General features: G+C 39.1%; 1 pseudogene, besides 1 other annotated feature; it reads right to left on the bottom strand.

The window, feature by feature from the left end:
• Positions 1-5,944: 5,944 nt before the first annotated feature.
• On the bottom strand, positions 5,945-8,647 carry LOC285442 (mitochondrial translation release factor 1 like pseudogene; annotated as a pseudogene).
• Positions 11,800-12,999: an enhancer, noted in NCBI's record as "BRD4-independent group 4 enhancer chr4:189655173-189656372 (GRCh37/hg19 assembly coordinates)". NCBI's record gives its function as "activates an origin of replication core promoter dependent on BRD2, P300/CBP, MED14 and CDK7 cofactors, and independent of BRD4, by STARR-seq in HCT116 cells {active_cell/tissue: HCT116}" and the evidence as "EXISTENCE:reporter gene assay evidence [ECO:0000049][PMID:35650434]".

Here is an 18,790-nt window from a genome sequence, read left to right as displayed (position 1 = left end):
GTTAGTATTACAAGGCTGATTCTTCTTGCATTTTGATTGCGGCTGGTCATGTCTCCATTTTGAATTTAATTTGCATATCCTTGATTACTGATATTGTTGTGTAGCTTTTCATGTTTTTACTGGCTTTAGATAATATTCTTTTTTTTAATTTTTTCTGAGACAGAGTCTCGCTCTGTCACCAAGGCTGGAGTGCAGTGGTGCAAGCTCGGCTCACTGCAAGGTCTGCCTCCTGGGTTCATGGGACTCTTCTGCGTCAGCCTCCCAAGTAGCTGGGACTACAGACACGTGCCACCACTCCCAGCTAATTTTTGTTTTTTTTTTTTTTTTTTTTTTTTAGTAGAGATGGGGTTTCACCATATTGGCCAGGCTGGTCTCAAACTCCTGACTTCGTGATCCACCCGCCTCAGCCTCCCAAAGTACTGGGGAGAATATTCTTTTGTGAAGCACCCATTTAAGTCTTGTTGTCATTCTTCTAACGGATTATCTCCTTTTGAAGTCAATGCCTGAGTTCTTTATAGATGGCGCATATGAGTTCTTTGTTAGAAATATGGACTACAAACTTCTTTCCCACTCTGTGGATTGCTTTCCATCCTCTTAAGGTATCTTATGGTAAAAAGATGTTCCTAGCTTTAACAAAAATCAATGTTTCAATCTTTTGTGTTTGCACAGTTAGTGAGATGTTTATACAATTTTGCTATCTCAAGGTCATACAATTATTATTCTATGTTATCTTCTAGAAGTTTTATTATTTTAACTTTAAAATAGGTCCAGATGGTCTACAATCCATCTGGAACTGATATCTGTGTACGGTATGAAGTAAGAGTTGACATTCGTTTTCTCCCTATCGGAATATCCAGTGATCCATTGCTACTGTTTTGAAAGATTATTTGTCCTCTCTGCATTATACTGGTCTGGTCCCTTTTCATTAATCACATCACCATGTGTATGTGGGGTCTTTTTCTCTAGAGTTTCTACATAAGCATTGACTTCAGCGTCTCTTCCACCCGTTGTAAGCCCTACATACTCCTCTCTCATGCTCTGTCTTCTGTCTGTCTGGTGTGATTATGCTGTGGCCGCTGTGAAACTCCCTCCTGCCACTTTCAAATATTCCTCCCCACACAGAACTTAACAGACCCACTCTTTGGGAGCATACTTAAAATTGCTAGTCCAATTATACAATAGTTTACTCAAGACAACGTGCTAATAAATAGCCAAATTTCATCAAAGAAGCCATTTTATGTATTTTGAATTAAAAATGTTTAATACACAGTAATAGGAATGTACACAACTGTTGGATATGCAGCTCATTCTTTTTACTGTTTTATAATATTTCATTGCATGAGTATGTCACCGTTTATCCATTATACACTTAATGATTTTGATTATTATTTTGAACTATTATAAATAACTCTGTAACTAACATTTTTGTACTTGTCTTTGAGGCATATCTGTATGCATTTCTGTTGAATATATACATGGGAGAAAAGCTTGCAAAGGCTGGAAAAGGGAAAACATGCAAAGACTGTTTTAGAAAATTCCAAATTGCTAGGACTACAGCATGAAATGGGTAATTCCATGAGGCTGCTTGATGGTCATAGACAAAACCCCGTATCTGCCATAGGATGTCAGGCATGGACAGACAGGTACCGGTGACCTCTTCTGTCTTCATATCCTTATCCTAACTCACATTGCTGTATTCCACTGGAACCACTGTTGGCTCAGCACTGTTGAGAAACTTTTTGCTCCAAAGCTTCACTGTTGGATAGCAAAGGAGAGCTTAGAGGGTGGAGGTGTAACTAAGCCTCAACAAGTGTATCCCACATAGTGGGTAAAACAAACTTAGGTAAGGCCTCTTAAATACTATTTTCATTTTGAAAGCATTATTTATTATTTTAGCCCATGGAGATTTTGTAATGTAGATATGTAAGCTGAAATGAATTTGTTATTATACGGTTTTTTTTAGTGATTCAAATTGATCATTAACTAAGTTTTAATGTCCCAATCAATACATCTATAGGACTTGATGTTACTAGGCACTTCATTTTTATTTTTTGTTTCAAAATTTTGATGGGCAGGACTAACTGCAATTTAAATTTAGAATAATGGAAAATAATATTCAAAATGTTAAATGTCATCTTTTCTGAGAAATATTCATTAGCAAAATGGATTCGACTTGAAAACACAAAATTGTATTCTAAGAAGAACTTCAGATTGAGTGATTACTGGGGTGCAATTAAAGACATGGCATGTATGGATGAACCTATAAAGTTGTGTTAGTTGGGGAGACGAACACATTAATGGCAAACATTATTAGGGGCTCCAAATCATGTCATACACCATCTAATTAGTGGATATCCGCAAGCTCAGCAGTTGGCCACAGTGTCCAGGTGAGTGATTCAGATCCTGGAGGTTTGTCAGCAGGTACGACAGGTATTTTTGTCATATTGCAGAAGACTGGGGTTCAGGAGAGGAAGTGACATGCCCCCAAGGCAGGCACAGTAGGCACAATGAGAGATATACTCCATGGCATGACAAACAGGACAAGAGTGCGGGATTACTAAATTCAAAAAAGAAACCTGAAATTTGTGAAAATTAGAGCACAGAATCTTATTTCTGAGGAAATTAGTTATCAGAAAACTAAGGGGGAGGGTGGTTGTGTAAATGTGTGACCAGGTTGCTGAGAAACCACCAAAGTCAGAACAAGCAATAGGAAAGTCACCTGTGCTTGTGCCTGAAAAACTGAGCTCCTCAAGTCAGCCTCTCCTGGAGGCTGAGCTCTTCTCAAAATTAGTTGGGAGGTACACAAAGCTCTTGCTAAAAGGGCAATGATGGTGGGAGGGTGAGAGGCAATTACTAGCTGTAGAATGTGGGATACACACAAACGAGCTTGTTATACATAATTCATACATTGGAAGACAAGTAAGATATTCATTGTATAATGACAAAAGGCATGAATGTGGGGACCAGATAGACCTGAATTCACAACTGGCTTGCCGTAACCAAGTTATTCAACCTTTCTGAGCATCAGGATTATAATGTTACTTCACAGAATTTTTCTAAATATAGAAAAAGCGTTATATATGTAAAATGTTTGCCATAGTGCCTGGCACATAGATGACACAAAAATTGTTAGCTATTACCAGTAATAACCTAACAATTTTACTAAAATATCTATTGAATAATTGAAACTATCAGTCAGGATAAAAGTTCAGCTGTTACTATCTGTTATATTTCCTTCAAGCAGAGGAGTATTAAATAAAGGATATTCAAATGTTTTAGTTAGGGTAAGCAATGCTAGCTGCTGCTACAACAGACCATCCTCCCAAATCTAAAAGCAATAACCAGTTAGTTTTTGCTCACATTGATTTAACAGGGCCAAGTGACTACCCTATACCTGTAGCTATGCCATCTGGAGTATGTGGCCTCTAAGCTTCCCCAAGAGGGGGCAAGAGCACCATGCCCAGTGCTCTGAAGTTCCAGGCCTGAGTCTGGTCTATATCAATTCCACCTAAATTTTGCTAGAATTTGCCCACTACCCAACTACAATAGAGGCTGGCAAATCTTGTCTTCTGTGTCTAGGATGAGAGAATGGTATATTTTAAAGATACATTGTCTCTGCCATAGAATTGTGTGAGGGCCAGAGAATGATAGTCACACTTAGGCAATCTCTCATGGAGCACTTCCACAATGCCAGTACAGCTGTGGCTACCGAGAACCTTTATTCCCATGTGCCATCATTCCTCTATAGTCTCCTATAATTTGGAACGATTCTTCGGCCTTACTGTGTGCTTCACGACAATGTCATTTTGAAGAGTACAGACCAGGTATTTTGTAGAATGTCTCTCAATTTGGGTTTGTCTGATATCTCTTCACAATATATGACCCAGAATTTAGACGATACCTTATTTTCTCAGAATTATTCACTATGATATTATGTTCTTCTCAGTGCATCTTATCAAGAGACACTAAGTATTGATTCATCTCATTACTCGTGATGTTAACTTAGATCACTTCATGAAGATGGTGGACCCCTGCCAGGTCTGCTCATTGCAAAGTCACCAGTTAGTTCTTTCTTACTAGTAAGCACATTATGAGGAGACACTCTGAGATGATGTAAATATCCTGTTAGTCCTCAAACTTTCACCAGCTAAGTCACCTTTTGATGATTTTTCAGCATCTTTTGATGATTTTTGCTGGAATCAGTTTGCATTATGATGACTGGCAAGTGGTAATTTTCTAATAATATCAATCCAAAATATGAAACACTTCAAAAATGTGTATGTCAGTCTTGTGCATGTTAATCTTGTTAAACACTGGAACAATGTTTCTGTGTCTTTCCAGTTTTAGGACAAAAGCCAACAAAGCACATTCACTAAGATATATACTTTTAAAAGAGAGGGGGTGGAATTGATAATTTCACAATACTCATACAACTCTTTGTTTTGCTATATGTTCTTCCAGTCTTCATGTACATAAATGCATAACTTAAACTATGAATAAAATATATACAATTTTAATTTAAGGCTATGTTATATTTTTAATACTATTTTCAGTATAATTTCTCTATAATTTTCTTAAGGTCTAGTAGCACTCTGTCCTCACTCTGTATTTCAGCACACTGGTCTTTCAGATTCTTCAAAGATCATGCTCTCCTGCTCCTCTCTCATGGGATGGTCCTTGATCATGAAATGAACCTTACACCTAATCGTTTAGTCTATATTTCAGTGCAAGTGGTACTTCTTTAATGAAGCTTAGGCTAAGTGATATTCTTTTGTTGTCTTTCTGAACATCAGGTAATTATCAGAGTTTGTAAGTATATATTTCCTTGACTGATCAAAGAAGGTATCTGTCTCTCTGACTAGCCTGTAGGTTCCCTGAGGCCAAGAACCCTGGTACCCAGGTCAATGACTGACCAGCACCCACCTAGATCCCGGTGAATACATATGGGATGACTGGGTGCCTTGTTGCTGAGCACTTTTTTTTTTTTTTTTTTTGTATTGTATACACAGTGGAAAGCTGGTTTTATTTGGGAGACAATGGGAGCTTTTACATTGTTGAGCAAAGGAGTGACGAGATCAGTCTTGCTTTTTAGAAAGATTAGTTTGGCAGTTACTTATTTGTAACCAGAATTAGACAGCAAATCTGATGCAGGGGAGAAGTCAGGTGACTATTAGTCTGCGAAGTAATTCTGGACAAGAGCAGTGGTAATGGAATTGAAAAGGATTAAAAGTGTTTACCAGGTTTTAGCAATAAATCCAATGCGAGGAAGAGGAACGTAAGATGACATTTTAAATTTGAGAGTGGTAGTACCATTAAAAACTAATGAATTTTGATTAACTAGTGCTTTAGGCCCTTTGAAATTATTTTGAATTTTGGTTCTTTCTGAACAATGCACCAGATTTCTAGACAAATACTTAAGGTGTTTTTAGACATCTATTTAGTGCCTATTATAGCATGGTGTTAGCTTCCGAAGAGACAAGAATGATGAAAATACAATCTTATCCATTAGTGGCATTGTGAGAGGTCTAGCAGTAACTTGTTCATCCTATGCCCTGATCCACCCTTTCTCATTTCCTTATTAAGCACACAATACTGAGACCAGAATAAAGCAGTGCATTTACTACCTTGTGAAGAATGTTCAGGTGTTCAGGTATGGTATCTTCATTTTGTGCTGCTATAACAGAATACAGGAGACTGGGTAATTTGTAAGGAACAGAAATGTATTTCTCACAGTTCTGGAGGATGGGAAGTCTAAGATCAAGGAGCTGGCACTTGTTGACTAGGGCTTTCTTGCTGTGTTCTCACATACAGAAGGCAAGCTAGCAGGATGCTCCCTGAAACCTCTTTTATTATGGGCCTTCATCCCAGTCCTAAGAGAATCCTTCATGGCCTAGTGATCTCTTAAAGACCCCACCTCTTGATGCTGTCACATTGGCAACACTTGAATTTGAGGGGACACATACAAGCCATAGCAAACTGAACATTTCTCCCATGCCAGATAGCACCATGTTCTTTGTCAGTAGGTGGTGGTAGAGGGGCACTGCAGGATAAAGGGGCTTCTTTCACTTCTAAGATGATACTGTGACAGTTAATTTTATGTGTCAACTTGGCGGGGCCACAGGTGCCTAGCTACTGGGTCATACTTTTTTTTTTTTTTTTTTTAGAGATTTAACTTTTGCTCTGATTTTCCAATTATAAGGTCAAACATTATTCTAGGTGTTTCTGTGAGGGTGTTTTATATGAGATTGACATTTAAATCAATCAGTGAACTCTGAGTAATGCAGACTGTCCTCCTCGATGTTAGTGGGCTTGATCCAGTCAGGTGAAGGTCTGAAGAGAAAAAAAGACCGTCCTCTTCCCAGAACAAGAGAATCCTCCAACAGATACCTTTGGACTGGACCTTGCACCATCAGCTTTCCTGGGTTTCCAGCCTCCTGCCTCACACTCCAGCTTTTGGACTTGTTAGACTTAATAATAACAACACAAGCCAATCCTTTTAAGGAAGTTTGTCTGGAGAATCTTGACAAACACAAACATCTACTGAGAGTTCCTGTCCAAGTTTTGCTCACACCCTAGCAAGAGGCTTCTGGCTTACCAGTTGAGAGTGTGAGGTTCTTTGCTTGTAAGACCTGATCCACCAGCGGTACACCAGCTCTGGCCCAGGGCAAGACAGGGAATTTCCCAATCACTGAGTAGGCTGTAGCCACTCTCTCCATTAGGCCTGACTTCACCATGGGGAAGGGGAGACCCTTTCAAGGGTATTCTTTCCTGGGGTACTCTCAGTCCTAGGACATCATAGCTCTCTTTCATCCCTCTTAAAAGTTAATACCATTATCAGTTAACAGTTTTTTATATTAAAATTATCCCTGTTCAAGTTAATGGTATGGTTTCTGTATCCTGACTGGATATTAGGATACAGTATTTACTGTCTTATTTCTACTACTTTATGTTTAAAGTTTTTCATAATATTTAAACTGAAGTTTTGATCATTCATTAAATATTTACACAGAACAGGACAAAGGATGATTTTCCTTTGTCTAGTTATTGTAAGGTAGCGTCCAAGATTTACCACCACATCATGATTACAGATGGTCACCAACTTATGTTTTAGGATTTTTTGACTTTATGATGGGTTTATAGGGATGCAGCCCCATTTCAAGCTGAGGAGCTCCTTAGGGCTTAGGAATCATACCTCTTTCACACCATGGTAAAGTTGGAAAATTGTTAAGTCAAGCTGTCATTAATTAGGAGACTGCTGTGTTGCTAACGTTATATGCATTTTTAACTTATGACGGGTTTATTGGGAATTAACCACAATGTAAATCGAGGACCATCTGTATATTGTATGATTTTTGCTAATGCATTGAGAGAGATCTGTGTAAATTATCTATGACTTCAGAATATGCATATTACCTCCAACTGTGTTAACTCACGTTTTTCAAGAGAGTAAGGGTACTTTCACCCTATGTGGATGTACTGTAGAATTTTTCTAAGCTACGAAAGTCTATAAATAACAAATCAACTTAAACTTTTTGGGAAATAATTTCTACTAAAGATTCATAATTGGCGTATTCCTTCAATGACTGTACAAGTTCATCCAGTAGATAATCTCCTTGCATAAAAGTTTCAAGATCATGCAGCGTCTTGTTTATTCTGTGATCTGTGACCCGGTTCTGTGGAAAATTATATGTTCTTATTTTCTCTGATCTTCCTTTACTTCCAATCTGAATTTTTCTAGCATTCTGTCTTTTATTTATTTCTTCTTCTACATGCATGCTGTACAGTTTTGCACGTAACTTTGTCATAGCCAGCTCTTTATTTTTCAGCTGAGATCTCTCTTGTTGACATTCAGAAACAACACCTGTTGGAAGATGAACTATCCGGACAGCACTGTCCGTGGTATTTACATGCTGCTCCCCAGCTCCACTGGCTCGCTTAGTGTCAATTCTCAAATCTTTCGGATTAATCACCAGATTAATCTCAGTAGGCTGGGGTAATATTGCTACAGTCATGGTGCTAGTATGGACGCAGCCTTGCTTTTCTGTCTTTGGCACTCTTTGTACTCTGTGAACACCTCCTTCAAATTTCATGTGCCTATAGGCTTCTGAACCCCCAATGCTGGCAGATGCATGTCTAAGGCCACCTACTTCACTTGGAAAATATTCCAGGGTTTCAAAATGCCATCTTTTAAATGCAGCATATTGCTGATACATATCAAATATCTCTGATGTAAACAACATTGCCTCCTGACCTCCAACTCCTGCAGTTACTTCCAGGATCAAATCATTTTCATCTGTTTCTTCTGAGGGAACCAAAAGTAAGATAATCTGATGCTTCAGCTGAGTTATTTCTTTTTGACACAAAGTGATTTCATTCTCTGCAAGTTTCCTTAAACCTTCATTCTCATCGTGCAGCAAGTGCTCAGTCTCCCGCAGCTCCTGCTCCTTCTCGTTCAGCAGTTTGATCACCGCCAGCAACTCGGGCCTCCTGACCTTCAAATGGGCTTCAGACCCCGCCTGGCGCTCGAGGAAGGTCCGCAAGGGCCCGCCCCGGGCGAACAGCTTCTCCAGCGGCGGGCTACCGGAGCTCAGGGGCCGGCGGGCTGGGCCAACGGCCCGGCGGGGCCAGAGCCACCGGGCAGCGCCCCCGCTGAGCACTTGGATTATTGCTATTTTGTATCATATGAACTGACATACGTGTGCACTTAACTCTTTTCAGTAATAACAACATTAAAAACTGTAATTGAATTTACTTTAATGGGTCAGAAGTACATTATTGAAATTTTTTTGGGTTCCATTCTGAGTTTGTGATTCACTTTAATAGTCACCCATGATGGGGTCCTCAGTAGCATTGATTTTGATAAACCTCATTTGTATCTCGGATGCAAGCCCTTCTGATAGGCTGATAGACATAAACTCTCCTTTCATGTAGCTAATTGAAGATGCTCCCTTCTTAATTTCTTTCTAATCTTAATTGCCTTTTTCTTTTTTAATCAGAAATAACACTCAGTCATCCGCTTCTTACCAAACTCTCCTTTCACTCTAGCTTCTGCAACCCTGTTATTTTACATACTTTCCCATTGAAAGGGACCTCAAGATATCTGCTTGGAAAATCTCTATTCAGTTAAATATCTTCACGGCTATTTACATTTTACAGATGAGGCCATTGTCACCCAGAAAAGCAACCCTGGGAAATCTAACAAGAACACTTCCTTCTTATGCTTTATTTCTCTGTGGAGGCCCCATAACTTAACTTTAAAAATTATTTCTCATTGAAATTGGCTTTCAGTGTTTAATGGATAGTACTTTTACTTCACATGTATTTTTTTTTTTTCTTTGCAAATCTTTGCAGTAAATATAGTTTCTCTCAAGGGCTCCTCCTAAAACTACATATCATAAACTAGCATTCTTAAAGCCAGAAGCTTTAAAGATCTAAGCCCCTAGGTTTTACATTTACATCTGAGCCTCATAACTGAGGATTTTTCTACAACAGTCTTCTCTGTTATTGTTTTTTTCCACTCCACTTCATTTGTAATAAAGTATACATATGTAAGCAGCTACATATGTAGCTTCTCCTAGGACGCCTCATGCATAAACAATAAAGAGTATATTCTTTCAAGCCTTACACAGACTTTTTTTTCCAATGCTGTTTACAGTAATCAAAATATAGGCTTCATTTTTTAGGATGACCACAACCTATGTCTTTGACTTATTATGGCCATAGCAACTATGCTAGATGAAGGAACGATACTTTGAAGAGAAGCCGTCTTCTACCCAGCTCTGTGTGGCTAAGGGGAAGAAATACAAATGTGAGTTTTTCTTACTTGGTGAACCAAAATTTACTTAAATTATAATTAAGTGATTTGAATATCTTTAAAATATTTTTCCAAACATTCTACCATCTCTATAATATGGCTCCTGAAAGCCTGGAGTACTATGTTCACTGATAATGAAAACATTCTATGAAGATTTTATGTTAATTTGATTGTATTATTTAGTCCCATTGATTAGGGTTTCTTCAATTTATGTTTTTTTCAAATCAGTATCACTGACAAGTGAAATCTGATTTCAACGACACCCAACCACATGCCCTACATCATTTTTATTATATCAGTGAGCTATCATGAATGCATAACTGATCTTAATTTGTATGATTGCCCAAGCTAGCAATATTTATAGGATTGCTTTATATGATTAATTTTGCATTTTATATCTGTTTCAAGCTGAGAAGACAGTTTAATATTTATTTTCACAATTACTTATTTATTTTTAAATTATTTTAAATATTCTAGTGTGGGCTAAGGACTGGTTCCAAATCTGAAAATAAATGAATCTCAACACAACTGATTCAACATTGTCTCTGAGTAGTCCACAAGTGTACTGAATGTCTACTGCATGTTCACGTAAAGTGAATTCTACAAGAAAGTTGTATAAGTCCTTCTAATTTGGATTTTTTTTTTTGTAAGAGGCAAGGAAGATCTTTCTGTATCAACAAGACTGGTCTCAAACTCTTGGGCTCAAGTGATCCTCTGACCTCGGCTTCTCAAGTAGCTGAGACTACAGGAGTGCACCACCATGCCCGGCTTAAAGGCAAAACTATCTAGGTTTTATTTTAAAGTTTATTTAAGTTTAGGTCTCTTAAAACTTTTAAGGGAAAAATTTTGGGTAACAGAAAAAGAATAGTTCCAACGAAGACATTCAGTAACAACAGAAATCATTTCACTAATTAGAAATTCTATGCCATTTGAAGATTTTAAGTTTTAGATATTTATTTCATATTTATTAATGCCATAAAAACGATTTCATGAAGCATAAAGCTGGCAATTACTTAAGCAGTATAGTTTTCTTTAGGATTTGAATGCTTTTATAAACCAAACAAATGCAAAATAAAACCTAAAACAGCAATTAATATTACTTCAATAATGACAACATTCATTGCTATGTTTCACAAATAATTATATATATAATATATATCACAAATATTACAAATAATTACAATGAATAAGCCCTTGGGTGTCATAAAAGCCAACTTCAGACTCCATATGTGAAAGTCCAACTTTTTGGTGTGTGATTGTTTTTGTTTGTTTGGTTGGTTTTTTACCAAGGCTTTGCATTTTATTTTTGTAGTTTAAGGAATAAGACAGTTGTATCATTCAATTTCTTTATTTGTTTTCAGGGGAATATTAGTTTATGTTTAGAGGAAATTCACTGAATATATGTAGTATAAGAATTTCTCTTTTATAGCATAAACATTAAACATAACTATGCATGTTTTAACTTCTAATTTTTATCTTTTTTTTCATATTTAAAGAAGACCTCCTAAGACATGAAAGCCTAAAACCACTTTTATTGGAAGATTTTAGAAGCTTTTCAGGAATACCGTTGTGGTGGTGCAATCCTGTAGCCTCTGGCTATTTGGGAGGCTGAGGTAGGAGGCTCTCTTGAGCCCTGGAGTTCGAGTTCCACCTGAAGAAGAAAGAAAAGGAAGGAAGGAAGGAAAGAAGGAAGGAAGGAAGGGAGGGAGGGAGGGAGGGAGGGAGAGGGAGGGAGGGGAAGAGAGAGAGAGAGGGAGGTGACAACGTGCTAGCAGCCCTCGCTTACTCTCCGCACCTCCTCGGCCTCGGTGTCCACTCCGGCCATGCTTGAGGAGCCCTTCAGCCTGCCACTGCACTGTGGGGGCCCCTCTCTGGGGCTGGCCGAGGCTGGAGCCAAGCCAGCTCCCTCTGCTCACAGGGAGGTGTGGAGGGAGAGGCGTGGGTGGGAGGCGCTCCCGGGCCTGTGCAGGTTGCGGGTGGGCAAGGGCTCAGCAGGCCCCACGCTCGTCGTGGCCAGCCATTGCCTGCTGGGCTTGATCAGGGGGCGAGCTCCCTCTGGGCTGCCAGAGTGCCCAGGCTAGATACCACAAAGTCCCACAGCAAGTGCCATTGAGAGGTGAAGCCAGCTGGGCTTCTGGGTTGGGTGGGGACTTGGAGAACTTTTCTGTCTAGGTAAAGGATTGAAAAAGAAACAATCAGCACTCTGTGTCTAGCTAGAGGTTTGTAAATGCACCAATCTGCACTTTGTGTCTAGCTCAAGGTTTGTAAGTGCACCAATAGGCACTCTGTGTCTAACTCCAGGTTTGTAAGAGCACCAATCAGTGCTCTGTGTCTAGCTAATCTAGTGGGGACTTGGAGAACTTTTGTGTCTAGCTAAAGGATTGTAAATGCACCAATCAGTACTCTGTGTCTAGCTAGAGGTTTGTAAATGCACCAATGAGCACTCTGTGTCTAGCTCCAGGTTTGTGAAAGCACCAATCAGTGCTCTGTGTCTAGCTAATCTAGTGGGGACTTGAACTTTTGTGTCTAGCTAAAGGATTGTAAATGCACCAATCAGTACTCTTGTGTCTAGCTCAAGGTTTATAAACGCACCAATTAGCACCCTGTCAAAACGGACCAATCAGGTCTCTGTAAAATGGGCCAATCAGCTCTCTGTAAAATGGGCCAATCAGCTCTCTCTAAAATGGACCAATCAGCAGGATGTGAGTGGGGTCAGATAAGGGAATAAAAGCAGGCCACCCGAGCCAGCAGCAGCAGCAGTAGCCCTCCCTGGTTCCCTTCCATGGTGTGGAAGCTTTGTTCTTTTGCTCTTGGCACTAAATGTTGTTGGTGCTTATTGTTTGGGTCTGCGCAGCTATAACGCTCACCATGAAGGTCTGCAGCTTCATTCCTGAGGCCAGCGAGACCGTGAACCCACCGGGAGGGATGGACAACTCCAGACGCGCCACCTTTAAGACCTGTAACGCTCATTGAGAAGGTCTGCCTCTACACTCCTGAAGCCAGCAAGACCATGAACCCACCAGAAGGAATGAACAATTCCAGACACACGGCCTTTATGAGCTGTAACACTCACGGCGAAGGTCTGCAGCTTTACTCCTGAAGTCAGCGAGACCACGAACCCACCAGAAGGAAGAAACTCCAGGCACATTTGAACATCTGGAGGAAAAAACTCTGGACACACCGTCTTTAGGAACTGTAACACTCACTGCAAGGGTCCGAGGCTTCATTCTTGAAGTCAGCGAGACCAAGAACCCACCAATTCCGGACACGGAAGGAAGAAAACTTAACTGAAACAACATTTTGTGAGGAACGTGTACGTGGGTTTTTATCAATATTCGTGATTCACTTGATGGTCATAGGTTCCTAAGGATTATTTTATCTAAACCAGACCACACCGTTAATCTCCCTGAGCATCCTGATGACTGTGTTTCAAAGGCCCCTGAATGAGAGCCAATGTAAAATGGGGTTGAAGGTGGTAATATGGCAGCGTGAGATAGAAGGTATTATCCCAGGAATTTCTAACTGCTGTGTAAACATCAGCGCAGAATAAGTGTGTGCTGGGTAAAGTTGGGCCAATATACAACTTTATCTGTAATGAGTGAAATGCAGCACAGGTGAAGGCGACTGTGTTGATGCATAAAATACCACACACGTGGAGAGGTGGTGAACTTTTCAGAGGCTTTGTTATTCCAGCTGCACGGCAAGAACACGGCGTCTGCCCTACCTGTATCCATTTCCCCCGCCGAGCCTGAGATTTCCAGGCTGCAAATAAATGCTCTTTGGTAATTCAGAAACTTGGAGAGATCAATGTTCAGAATCACCTGGATAATCCAGTGCCAGTCTTAAACTGTATTAGGATTTCTAAGGTTTTTGTTGACTAAGCCAGTGAACATGGCATGAAGTTGTCTGAGTCACCATTGCCAAGCTAAGACGAAGTGGGAGAGAGTTAGATCCTGTAAGGCACCAAACTCAGCCCAAATGGATAAAATAGAAATTCTGAAAATGTGTGCATCAACTTATTCTCTAAATGTAAGATCCCTTTTAAACACATTCTTTCAGTGAATCTCATAGGAAATCAAGAGATCTACTTTCTGTCCAGACACGCTGACTCACGCCTGTAATCCCTGAACTTTGGGAGGCTAAGGTGGGCAGATCACCTGAGGTCAGGAGTTCAAGACCATCCTGGCCAACATGGTGAAACCCTGTCTCAACTAAAAATACAAAAATTAGCTGGGCATGGAGGCGCTACTGGGGAAGCAGAGGCAGGAGAATCACTTGAACCCGCGAGGTGGAAGTTGCAGTGAGCTTAGATCACACCACTGCGCTCCACCCTGGGTGACAGAGCAAGACTCTGTCTAATTAAAAAAAGAGAGAGACCTATTTTCTTCTTGGATAAATAAATCCCACAAATCTGAAGTTTGATAGGCTTTGATTTGCCATACTAAATTTAGTATAAACTCAGAATTCCTAATCCAAGGGCCTTGAGGCCAAAACCTTTTAGATTTTGGAGGTTTTCATATTTTAGGAAGGTAATGGTGTGCATATATCATGTATTATGTCTGGATCAGCACCCCACATTCAAATACATTAATATTGATACAGTGAAATGTATGAATATTCAAACTAGGTGTGATAAATAAAAAGCAGGTGTAACTTAACGTCAGATCAGAATAGGTTTTGCTGCCATAATTTGTCACAAATCTATTAGGATATTTATGATTTGAAGAGCTTTTTAGTATTGAAATTATAGACCTAATGCCTCCAGGCAATCACTTAAGGGTCCAAAGTTTAGCTATGTTCTATTTCTAAAGCCAAGCTGCGAGAAAGTAATATGATTATGTGAACAATGGGAGACTTCATGTAAAAGAAAACAGCCTCGTGCCAGTGAGAGTAGAGATGGCGTAAAAAGCAATCATCTTTGAGAAGCTGTAAATTCCTTCCAGAGTATAATTAACTAATACAAGATTATTTTGTGGGAATGTTTTGATAATGGGGTCAGAGGACAAGTAAAGGTAAATGTTCTTTAAAGTTTGGAATCCCCTAAGTTCATTAACTCCTTGTCAAAACTAATTCTAATATTTCTTATTTCATTTTTGGCTTTATAAAGTCACATCAAGAAATTTGAATGTTATCCCACTCATAATGGAAACTCATGGAAAACTTAGGCAGAAAATTGGTAAAATCCGGTTCACATTTTATGAAACCCTTGGCGTCATTGTAGAGAAAGAAAAAAGACAAAGATTGGAAGCACAAGGGCTAATTAAAAGATTGTTGCAAAATATAGGTAAGATTTGATGATCTGGAATTGATAAATATAATTCAAAAAGTATTTATAAGGTAAAACTGACAACGTAATGCTTGTTTGGGGAATCGCACAGGAGTCACCAATGTTCCAATTTTTCAAATGGACTCTATTTTCACTGAAATAGAATACAAGAGGGAGAGCAATTGTGTGGGGCATGTGACAGACAGAGGCAGCAGCAGAGTTGAGCTAATGAGTTCAGTGTTGAATATATTGAGTTTGAAGTTCCCATGTGACGTCCAGATGGAGATATCCACCAGCAGTCAGCTATGACACCTAAAGGTGTTGGGGAGACAGATGAACTCATGACGTAAATGTTCTGTCAAGAAATATAGATCTTAAAGATGGTGCACAGAGAACGCAGAGTGGGAAGTGAAGCTTAAGGGCACCATTAACGACAGTTTGGTTCAGGAAGGGGCCCCCACCAAGCAGGCTGGGAAAAGGGGACACATTATTAGGAGAAAAACCAAAACTGCACTGTGGCTTGGATGACAAAGTAAAGTATGTTTAAGAAAGGTGAGATTGTTAGATGAAGAAATTAGAGTTATTAGTAAAAAAGAAAATGGGACTTGTTTACTGTTTTTAATGTCAAGGAGGGCACTAAGGGCCATAGTACAGCAGCTTTGTGAAGTCGTGGACGGAAGTCAGACTGCCTAGGATTGCAGAAGAGAGAGTAAAAGACAGTTCGGTGTGAGAATGAGGGGACAGGTAGGATAGAAGCTATTTCACAAAAGAAAAATTTACACAGAGCAACTCGAGCTTGTTTAAGAAAAGAATTCATGTGCAGAGAAAGATGGAAAATATAGGACTGACAAGAGAGTACAGCAGTACAATGTCACCAGGGAGGAAAGAAAGAATCAGGAACTGGTTTAGGAAATGGGCCTAAAATAGAGGAGAGCACCCCTCTTCCATTGTAACAGGAGAGAACGGAAGATGCAATGAGCGTGGATTTAAGAAGGTTTATAGAGTTGGTTATAAATATTTCTTAGTTTGGCCAGGCCCCGTGGCTCATGCCTGTAATCCCAGCACTTTGGGAGGCTGAGGCAGGTGGATCACCTGAGGTCGGCAGTTCGAGATGAGCCTGACCAACATGGAGAAACTCTGTCTCTACTAAAAATACAAAATTAGCCAGGTGTGGTGGCGGCTGCCTGTAATCCCAGCTACTTGGGAGGCTGAGGCAGAAGAATAGCTTGAACCCGGGAGGTGGAGGTTACAGTGAGCCAAGATCGCACCATTGCACTCCAATCTAGACAACAAGAGCAAAACTCCATCTCAAAAAAAAAATAATAATAATAAAATAAAATAAATAAAAAAAACTTAATAGTTTATGGCTTCCACTATCCCCATGAAAGAGCTGGGAGAGACAAAGGTGTTGGGTATGTGAGGTTAAAAGTGAAAAGAGAACTTCTGAAACCACAACTGTAGAGAATGCATGAACCAACTAGCACGCATTGGAGTTCTCAACGGAAGTCGCAGGCTGAGTTACGCTGATACGGCAGCATCCAGCTGCACAATTAGTAACTTTCAGTTAGCAGTCTCACAAAGAAAGAATGATGGTGGTCGATATATGTGGGAGGTTACAAGACATGCCCCAATACTCAAACCAAGAACATGTCAACATAACATTTATATTGCTTTTTATTTAAAAATATTAGAAAATGTTATCAAGCGGAGAACTTGAGAAAGTGAAGACGGAAATGAGCATGACCTGACCATGAGTGGGAATGTATCGTATTGAACCAGCCTCCTCCTCCTTTAGCGGCATTAGCAATCTGGAATACAAGAGATTGTATCTATTGTATTGACAAATACAGTGCATTCTCTAGAAATAATGTACGTTGAAGTTGAGGAGGCATTTATGTGCTAACGTTGCTAGACCATAAACTTCTCAAGTTATTAGTCTGTTTTTCACATTGATGCAAAAAACAACTATGAAAGTTTTTCACAGAGAGTACATCCAAAATAAATATTTATGGAATGAATTAAAGAATGATCAAAGATACACACTGAATGTGGGATAAATGTCAATCTGGAGCAGAACCTTCAGGTTTGTACCCTTTTCGGTCTTGACTGTTATAACTTGGATGAGAAAAAGACAGCATAGTTATAAAATTTGTATTTGATATACAAACAAGAAGAACTTTAATTAGAATAAGTTGATAACCCTGTATTTTTATTTAAATTTAACTAGGCAGGTATAGGATGGGGGAGGTTAATAAAAGATAAGCTCATTGTGATGCCAAAAGCATATCTATTTTAAAAACACAATTATGATTCTATGCCACAAAAAAACGAAATTATATTTAGGGTGGTAATACTGTCCTGCACACAATGCGAACACATTGGAAATACTGAATTCAGTTTTCTGTGCTGTTATTAAATCCAACTCATAGTCTCATGGACAGTTTTTTAGATAAACATAGAAATTGACCCTCCTTATCTCAAAGCTTGAACCTTATACTTCTTTTATCTGAGTTCCTTCCTCAGGAAATGGCTTTCAGTCCCCTCAAAAAGGTTTCAAAGAACTGAAACTCAACAGATCACCACATCCAGACAATGAGATGCTGGACCCCTCTTTCATCATGATGGCTTCCTTGCCCCTTCCTATTTCCTGTTTCCTTATACATTGTTACATTTCTTCCCTGCTATGTAAACTCCTAGTTTTAGTGAATCAGGGAGATGGATTTGAGACCTGAGCTCCCATCTTCTCGGCTGCAGCACAGGATTAAAGCTTCTTCCTTGGCAATGCTCATCATCTCAGTCATTGTCTTTCTGTGCGGCGAGCAACAGGACCTAGATTGAGCTCCTTGTGTTTTGGAAACATTATGGGTAATTAGGTAGAGATTACCTGGACAAATGGTAACTAAGATCTCCAAACCTCTGAAAAAAATGAGGACAGGGATATGCAGAATGAGCAGCTCAGGGAGAAAATTATACCATTGTCAAATATAACAAAAGAAAACTGATCATTGTCTAGTAGACTGTAGGACTTCCCATTTTATGGAGGAAGTTATACTCATTGACCTTCAAGATACTGTCATACTCTCAGATTCCCTATGTTTCCTGTTCTAAAGGAAACCTAGAGGGTTTTAAAGAACAGAAAAGCCACTTAAACATTTTAATTCTTGCTCACCAATAGTAGTATCAGGAAACCAATCAGTTCCCCTTCAATGGAATCTTTGCAATAAGACATTTTAATTTCTTAACCTTGTTAAGCCAGACGTATTTTTTACTTACAAATGTTTGTCTTACTTGCAAGTAAAGGGGAATTACTTTAACAGATCCAAATTTACTATGTGTAATTTTGTCTTGAAGATAAATGTGCTTTCAACCAAAATATTTGCTGAGTCACTGGACTCCAGATTTTTCAGATTTGATTTTCAGACCTTCTAAATGAAAATGTGAGTTTTATTTTTATCTGAGTTAATTTTAAATGGTCACTAGTTAATGAGTTATCTATAGCAGTTCAACTTACAAAAGCACTTCATATATTTAGGTGAAAATAAATAGTGTTAAAATTTTAAAACACAACTATTGTGTTTCTTCTAATTACTTTTTGCCGATATTCTTTTATTTAAGTATATAACGTGAAAATGGAATTAAGCCAGAGTTCTGGCCAATATTTCTTTTTGATACATAAAATTTCACTAATATTTATATTAAGTAAAATCTCT

This window comes from Homo sapiens, chromosome 4 (genome assembly GCF_000001405.40).
Source record: "Homo sapiens chromosome 4, GRCh38.p14 Primary Assembly".
NCBI lineage: Eukaryota > Metazoa > Chordata > Mammalia > Primates > Hominidae > Homo > Homo sapiens.
Note: the sequence above shows the minus strand (reverse complement) of the source record. Positions and strands in the feature narration are given on the sequence as shown.